This window comes from Homo sapiens, chromosome 16 (genome assembly GCF_000001405.40).
Source record: "Homo sapiens chromosome 16, GRCh38.p14 Primary Assembly".
Taxonomy (NCBI): Eukaryota; Metazoa; Chordata; class Mammalia; order Primates; family Hominidae; genus Homo; species Homo sapiens.
The window spans coordinates 75,497,062-75,505,984 of NC_000016.10; the positions used below are offsets into that span (position 1 = coordinate 75,497,062).

Genomic DNA, 8,923 nt, shown 5'->3' on the forward strand with positions numbered 1-8,923 from the left:
TAGTAGAGACAGGGTTTCACCATGTTGTCCAGGCTGGTCTCGAACTCCTGAGCTCAGATGTGATCTGCCCGCCTCTGTCTCCCAAAGTGCTCGGATTACAGGCATGAGCCACCGTGCCCGGCCTGTTCATGATTTTTAAAAAGTTAGAAATAGTGTATGGGATAGAAAGATGTGTGCCAGAAGGCCAACCATAACTCTGGGTAGGGGATTGGCCGGCAATCATTATTTTCCTTAGGATCATGTAATTTACATTTCCTTAATCAGTATTTAGAAGTTATCTGGCCAGAAAGCTCCAAAACCTCTTTACAAAGCATGAATAAGGAGAGGGGGCAAGGATGTGGAGGATAAGGTAAGAGGGACGCAAAGAGAGAGAATTGCTTTAATAAGCTTCAAGATGGGCACTCAGTGGGGCATTAGACACCTCACCTGCTTTGGCAGAAACTGGACTAATCATTTGGAAGAATTAGAGATTTCTCTCCCACAAAACAAATTCAATAATTATCTCAAATATGACTTATCTATGGCTTCAGCTCAGTTGATAAAATCCTGTGTATTTCTTACCTTTCTTCCTCCTGCAACTATGCTGTGTGGTTCAGTTTCAGAAACTACCAATAAATGATCCGTAAATAATTTGATATTCACCAGACACAGTTGTAATTTTCCAACCCGCAGCTCCCATATGCCATGTGGATTCCACTAAAAACTAATATACTTGGGGTTGGACCAGGAAACTTTTGCCAAAGAGCTAACAAAAGCTCCAAGGTCTTTGGGCAGAGCCGTGGCAAAGCAAGGCTACTGGTGAGTAACTCGGAGAAGTGTGCTCAACTTCAGCCCTCCCTATTCTTCCTCCCTCCAAAGCCTTGCTTCAAAAATAGCTAATACAACCTTCCATGTTGAACATTTTAATTAGAAAGCTACAGAACATAATGGATTCTTTATACAAGTTTTGCATTCAAATAATTTAATAAAATGCAAACCAAAGTTTATACGTATCTTTAGCCATCTTCCCATGTTTCATTAAATTCTGGGGATTTAAACCACAAGCAATTTTTCATTTCAGTCTCAAGAGACGGGGCACACTGGCCCATGCCTATATTCCTGGCACTTTGTGGGGCTGAGACAGGAGGATTTCCTGAGGTTGGGAGTTCAAGACCAGCCTGGGCAACATAGTGAAAACCCCATCTATAAAAATAAATAAATCTCAAGAAAAAAATTTAGGCATCTAAAATAGCCAGAATATTAAAAAAAGACAAGGGGGACAGTGTTAGAGAATTCCTCTGCTTGAATACTTCAAAATAGCTTTGTTTCCAAAACTGTTTTTAGTCAGCCTAAAGGAAACGGATGCTGGAGATGAAAAATGATCTCCAAGGTAAACTGAGGCACACACTGAGGGGTGTGTTTCTGGGTGGGCATGAAGCATGGATCACCGGAGCCATGTCCTTCCAGGGGCAACGACCTGCTTGGGATCAGGAAGCAGCTCCATGTGTTCTTGGAGGAGACTGCACGCATCCTCAGGAGGTGAATCGGCTGAACAAGCCATCTTCCGTGTGCAGAGGCCCCTTCCAGCCATCTCTGCTCCTGCAGACACTTGCTTAGCCACGAGGATAATCCACTGGACTGCTTGGTATTCTGCTAGTGGCCAGGCTGGACTGGCCTGCCCAGGCCAGCATCCTCTTTACACCCTCACTGCTTCTTGTGTCCTTCCCAAAGCTGCCCGCCCCACTCTGATGGGCACCCTTTTCCTTAGTCAAGGGAAACGCCAGCCGCTGGGCTTCCCGCTAGCCTTCCAAATAAACTTGTGGTTGTCAGGCAGCGGGAGCCAATCCCAACACCAACCCCTGTCGCCCCTGTCCTTTGCAGGAAGGGGGAGGGCTGTCAAGGAGGAGGAGGGCCAAGTGCCCAGGCTGTTGGGTGAGGGCCAGAAAGAACCTGTTGTGACAATGCTTTCTTCCCCCAGTGCTGCTGAGGGGGCTGAGAATGAAACAGCCCCTCTGACTTCAGCCTGCCATCCAGGGGCACAGACAGAGGGAAAAACCGGGCAAAGAGCCAGCCACAGTCGGGCAGGGATCCAGGGCTGCTCAGCTGAGCTGATGACAGATGACTGACTGTTGGGCTGGGGCAGGTGGACGGTCCAAGTGTCCTTCAGCGGCCCTCCCTGATTGCCTGTGCTAATGCGGCCCTTGCCCTTGGGCCCTGCCCCTCCAGGTCTCCAGTTAAAGGCCTCAGCTCTGGAAATCAAAGCTGTGAATGGGAAATGGAGAAGCCCAGGGGTGCAAAGTGCTAGTGATTGGCATGTTTGTCACAAGAGAGCCCTGAAAAGAGTAAGAGTGGCTCACAACAGAAGGAAGAAATGCACAGTGTGTTCCTCAGTTCAACAGAGGAAAAGTCTCTGCTTGACCAGAGATGGGACTCTTTCCAAGATGTCTGAACTGACTGCAATTTTCTCCTGAAATTCAACGCTAAGGCAAAGAAGAAAAACCCAAAAAGCTAATTATAGCCTCCAGGAACTCTCAGACCTTTCCACAAACTAGTCCCTGACAATTCTGCAGGAGCTCTGAAGATACGGAACTGTGTAGAGCAAAACTGGAAAGAACCGTTGTCTCTGAGGGAAAAGCACACAAGCCCGCAGGTGTCCGCTGGGCTCTTTCAAAAGGTCCTAAGACGTTCCCAGAAGATGACAATGAGGCAGCCATGGTCCTGCTGAGTCTTCAGAAACGGCCTTTCTAGGATAAGTGCTCCTTACACACTTCTCCCTGGGGCATCACTGTCACAGGGATGGTGGTCACCACCTGATTCTGAAACACGAAGATCTTGATTCTTTCAAACACCCAGAGGAAGATAAGCAGGATGCTGACATACTGCACCCAGGCGAACTTTACCATCGCCCAGAATCCTGGCTGATAAGGACAGACAGTTAAAGAGTTGGGGACCACATGGTATAAGTCAAAGTAAACTAAGGTTTAGGCCAGACAGGATATGGCAAGAATATTTCAAATACTCTTAAGATGAAAGGAATAATAAAAGATTATTAAAAAATAAATATGGATGATTCTGACTTAGAAGAATGGCTCAGAAAGAAATACGAACAGGAAATGATCTTCCCCCCTGTATAAAGAGCAGACATAGTCATTTATGTGGAGATACAGTGCTGTAGCAATTTCCAATCAAAGGCTCCCACATGTGTTTCTGCTGGGGACAACTTTGGAATCTTTCCTTTTTGGAAGTTGAGTTACCACTGCCTCTGTAACAGAAAGGATATGATATGGTTTCCACAGGGTACTGGATGACAACATTAATCACAAATGGAGTTTCATGGCTCTGCCTACCAGCCAGATGAAGTTGGGGTCATTCAGGATGGTGGCAACTGCAATACAATCATTAACCATTAATCCATGATGGGGCAGCCTATTGGCAAAATATATTAGGGCTATAAAAATATTATTATTGTTTTTGGGATGGAGTTTCGCTCTTGTTGCCCAGGCTGGAGTGCAATGGAGTGATCTTGGCTCACTGCAACCTCTGCCTCCCGGGTTCAAGCAATTGTCCTGCCTCAGCTTCCTAAGTAGCTGGGATTACAGGCAGGTGCCACCATGCCCAGCTAAATTTGTATTTTTAGTAGAGATGGGGTTTCTCCATGTTGGTCAGGCTGGTCTTGAACTCCCGACCTCAGGTGATCTGCTTGCCTCAGCCTCCCAAAGTGCTGGGATTATAGGCATGAGCCACCACGCTCGGCTATAAAAGTATTATTTTATTCCTGTGGGATATTCTGTACTTCAGAACTAAAAGAAATCATTCGAAAGCATTAAAAATTGCATGTACAAAGTAGATTAACAAATAATTTGTTAAGATACTTGTCAAAAAAGCATTTGATATGGTTTGGCTCTATGACCCAAATCTCACCTTGAATTGTAACAATCCCCACGGATCAAGGGCAGGACCAGGTGGAGATAATTGAATCATGGGGGCAGTTTCCCCATGCCATTCTCATGATAGTGAGTTCTCACCAGATCTGATGGTTTTATCAGATCTGCTTACTTAGCTCTGCTCTCATTCTCTCTTCTGCCGCCCTGTGAAGAGGTGCCTTCTGCCATGATTGTGAGGCCTACCCAGCCATGCAGAACTCTAAGTCAGTTAAACCTCTTTTCTTTATAAATTACCCAGTCTCAGGTATGTCTTTACAGCTGTGTGAGAAAGGACTAATACGATATTTATATTAAAATACGTCAAAAACTTGGAAATGGTCATGTGATCATCTACAATTGCTGAATGGCTAACTGAAAGAATAACATGTTGCCACTCTAAATAATATGTTTGTCTGGACAAAGTCGCGCATTCTTGTAATCCCAAGGATCTGGGAGGCCAAGGTGGGAGGGTCACTTGAGGCCAGGAGTTTGAGAGCAGCTTGGCTAACATATTGAGACCCTCTCTCTACTAAAAAATAAAAAAAAATTAGCTGGGCATGGTGGCACGTGCCTGTAGTCCTAGCGGCCCAGGAGGCTGAGGTGAGAGGATCACGGAGCCCACAGGAGTTCAAGGTTACAATCAGCTATGATTACAGCACTGCACTCCAGCCTGATCATCAGAGCAAGACCCTGTGTCTCTTCAAGAAAAAAAAAAATTAGAACTTTGTAGCAGTGTGGGGAAATACTTTTATTACATGGAAATACAAATAATTTGGATGCCAAAGTGTTTCAACACTATCATAATAGGTATATTTTTAAAATCCACATAAGAATAAAGAGTGAAAAAAGTAAAGAAAAAACATCGATTTCTTGGGCCGTGCTTTTTAGTTTTGTTTTAGAATTCCCTTTACTATTATAAAAATGCTGCTAATGTATGACATAAAATCAGAAAGCAATACTGGATTTGCAGTCGTTCCCCCTTGTGAAATGTTTGTGTATAGTCTCCATGATGTCTGGTTGCCAAGTAACACTCTAGATGCCTTCACAGACATCCTCAGCCACGGACCAGCCAAACATGCCGAGTGAACACATGCCATGGCCTAGAGCTCTGTAAGGAATGAGCACACTGTGCCTTCTGGCAGGAAACAGGGGCACTCCTGTTCTCCTGCTGGACTGCTAATGTGGGGAGAGTCACCCACGTTCTCTGTTTTTCTCTGAAAAGCATGAACAGCAATTTGTCTTTGGCATCTGTTATAGGTGTGCTATGGGGAACAACTCAATTAGGCTTATATTTTTTAAAAGAGAAACCCACCAAGCCAGTGGTGGGATAATGATGGCATTTAACCATCACTAGCCTGCTGGACCACGGGATGCTGGAGGGGTGCGGGTGGTCCCGGGTCTGAAGATCAGGACGAAAAAGACAAATCCTGGGCAGCACATTTGCTCCCATCGTTGAGCATTCACGGGTTTTGACATTTTCATCACAAGGGTTCCAGTTCTGCTTGTCTCTGTTGCCCCCACTAACCTTGAAAGTCCTGAGCAGCGGCTGAATGGGCTCTACCTGTGACCCACCGTTCCTCTCCTGGTAGGCAGCAACAATATGGGTGAGGTCGTAGTCATAGGCAAAGGGGCTGGTCCCGTTGGTCACAGATACTTGGGACACGGGAGGAGGATGTGGTGTGAGCACCTGGGAGACTCCTCCTCTTTTCCTTCTACCCTTCTGCCCACCCAGGCTGGTCCCACAGAGCACCCTCTTGTTCTTGGTGGCCTACTGCAGTATCAATAATCTTTTCTTCAAAGATGAATAAACTCTCTTGCAACAATTTAAGTTCATTTACTCTGTCCTTCCTTCTGTGGGGATGAAAATAAGTGGTCAGTGTCCATGTTTCATAGATTTTAAAGCTATTTATAAAATCTCTCTCAGCTGGATGTCATGGCTCATGCCTGTAATCCCAGCAATCTGGGAGGCTGAGGCAGGAGGACTGCTTGAGAGGACACAAGTTCAAGACCAGCCTGGGCAACATAAAGATCCCATCTCTACCAAAAAAAAAAAAAAAAAAAAAATCCCAATAAACTAGGCATTGTGGTGCCTCCAGTCCTAGCTTCCAGGGAGGGTGAGGTGGGTGAACTGCTTGTACCCAGGAGTATGAGGCACAATGAGTCATAGGTAGGCCACTGCACTCCAGCCTGGGCCAGAGTGAGAGTCTAGTTTTTTTATTAAAAAGGGGGTGCGGGGGCAGGCACAGTGGCTCACACCTGTAATCCCAGCATGTTGGGAGGCCAAGGTGAGTGGATCACTTGGGTCCAGGAGTTTGACACCACCCTGAGAAACATGGCAAACCCCGTCTCTACAAAAAATGTAAAAATTAGCCAGGCGTGGTAGCATGCACCTGTAGTCCCAGCTAGCTACTCAGAAGGCTGAGGTAGGAGGATCATCTGAGCCTGGGGAGGTCAAGGCTGCAGTGAGCCATGATTGCGCCACTGCACTGCAGCCTGGGTGACAAAGTGAAACTCTGTCACAAAAAATAAATAAAATAATAAATGAAATTGTTTTAAAAAAGGTTAGGTGCAGTGGCTCATGTCTGTATTCCCAGTACCCTTGGAGGCTGAGGTGGGAGGATGCCTTATAACTGATAATTTCCCTTTTTCATTTTCCAAAGTACAGCAGCTCATCTTCTATGGTCCCCACTGTGATAAAATAAAGGTGAGGAATGAGTGATTAGATGCATGAGTTCTGGACACAGAAAGTTCCTGGCTCTGTTATACTTTCAAGATTTGAGCCTTTGGGAAAATTAATCACTGTAAGCCCCAGTTTTGTCTTCTCCAAAATGAGTTCATTCTTCAAACAAGCTTCTCTGTGAGCTTACCAAGTGATAGGCAGTGTGCTAGGCATGGACATGATAGTGTATGAGATGCCACTGCTGTCAAGGCTGAGGGAGACAACAAATAAACACACAAACACATATCCTGAGTAGGCCAGGGGGCAGGAGGGAGAGTCTGGCTGAGAGATGGTGGAGGGAGGGGCTGCTACTCTAGAAGCAGGTCAGGGAAGGATGGTGCTTGGCGATATCTGAACAGGGACCTGAATGGCATGGTTAGATAAGCCACATGGATGCCTGGCAGAGGAAATGGCAAGAGCAAAAGCCCTCAGGTGGCAGCTGCTTCTTGGGTTCAAGGAACAGCAAAAAGGCCAGGGGGGCTGCAAAGTAGCAAGGGGGACAGCAATGGGACCACTGGCTGGAGTGCTGGGAAAGGACAGTGCAGGCAGCTCAGAGGTTGCTGTGATGATTAAAGGAGATGATACGTATAAACCCCTGCACTCAAGGCTGGCATATGTTATGGGTTCAGTAAACTGTCTAGTAGTATTTCTGAAATACTTTACATGAACATTTTACATGATCTCTTGGAAACACATACTCCAAGTATGTGTATGGAAGAGAGAATGTATGTGCGTGTGTGTGCACGTGCACATGTGTACCTAAAAGCAATAAACAATTTAGTTATTCAACAAACACAGATTTTTTCTCTCTCTCCCTCTAGGTGTAAATACAGGTGTATCTTCATAGTCTGAAAAGACTTCATGGCAAGAATTCCTCAGAAGGTCCCTTGAAAGCCACCCACAGAGAAATATTTCTACTTTTTATCCCCCTCTTCAAAGAACTCGACGAACAGTAACACACAGAAACAAAGGAGCTGGACAATGAGAAGCGCCCTTACATTGTATCGGGCATCTAGGCCACCACAGCTCAGCGGCTGCTTCTGCTGCAGCCTCAGGTCTCCGTTCACGTATAACTGGGATCCCGGGACAGGAAAGGAGGACTGGAGAAACGCCATGCTCTGCATCACGAGGGTCGCCATCCTCTGAAATCATTAGAAGGACCAACAATACCAACCGCCATCAGATCTGAAGGGCTCTGGGTGCTAAGAGTCACCTGTCTTGGCTGAAACCTAAGAGGCCCTCACATACCTAGCGTAGCCATGCAGGAAACACTGCCTAGAACCTTCTGAGCTATTAATAGCCCATGTCAGTTAATATGACTAGTGAAAACCATTCCATTGGCCTAAGTTAAATCCCAAACTACATGGGGAAGAGGGCCCGCTAGAGTGCGGGTCTTCTAGAAATCAGAAGAAGGACTCTGGTCTACTAAAAAGACACAAGGGAGAGGACAGCCTCCCAGCGGACTGACTCACGTGTAATCGATAGGAGAAAGTCAGGATGAGCTGCACACCGAGAACGTGCTCCGTGGACTGCAGGGGAAGCTCCAGCTTAAAATGTAACATGTCCGTCTTCCCATCCTGGTTCCTGTCTTCTTCTCTAGTCTAGGAAACCCAAACAGGCCCAGCAGCCCTGGTCACTAATGAGTCTGGGAGGAATCCACATCACTTCTGTACATACACAATGACCCACTGTCCTGCTGTACACAAAAGAAAGAGGCATTATCTCCCCCACTAAAAGAAAGAGAAAAATAGACAGGTGTAAGTGCATTAATACTGGGGAAAGAGGCACAAAGTGCATGGCCCCTGAACTTCATATCTGAGTCTTTCAAATGTTCACTGGACAAAATAAATGGGAACTTGAAGTGGCGATAACAAGACAAGAAACATGTGAATAGCATTTGTCTCATTTGATCTTTTTTTTTTTAAATTAAAAAAAAATTTTTTTTTTAAAGAGGTTCTCCCTATGTTGCCTAGGCTGGTCTTGAACTCCTGTGGTTAAGGGATCCTCCTGCCTTGGCCTCCCAAAGTGCTAAGATTACAGGGGTGAGCCACCATGCCCAGTCAGATCATATCTTGTTTGTTTTGTACTGGTGTTTTTTTTTCTTTTGCATAAACATGCCTGGATTTGTATGGAAAATTTAAATAGTGTATCAGAATTGTCTTCTATGCCTCTAGAAGCAACTTTTTAAAATAGAAAAACACCTAATCCTAATCATTATGCATTCCCCCAACAAACTCAACAGAAAATCACCAAGCTCTATTTACACGTTCTGAAACCACAAGTGTCTTTGCTTCAGATTCTT

General features: G+C 45.6%; 1 pseudogene; it reads right to left on the reverse strand.

Moving 5' to 3' along the window:
- On the reverse strand, window positions 2,527-8,231 carry TMEM231P1 (TMEM231 pseudogene 1; annotated as a pseudogene).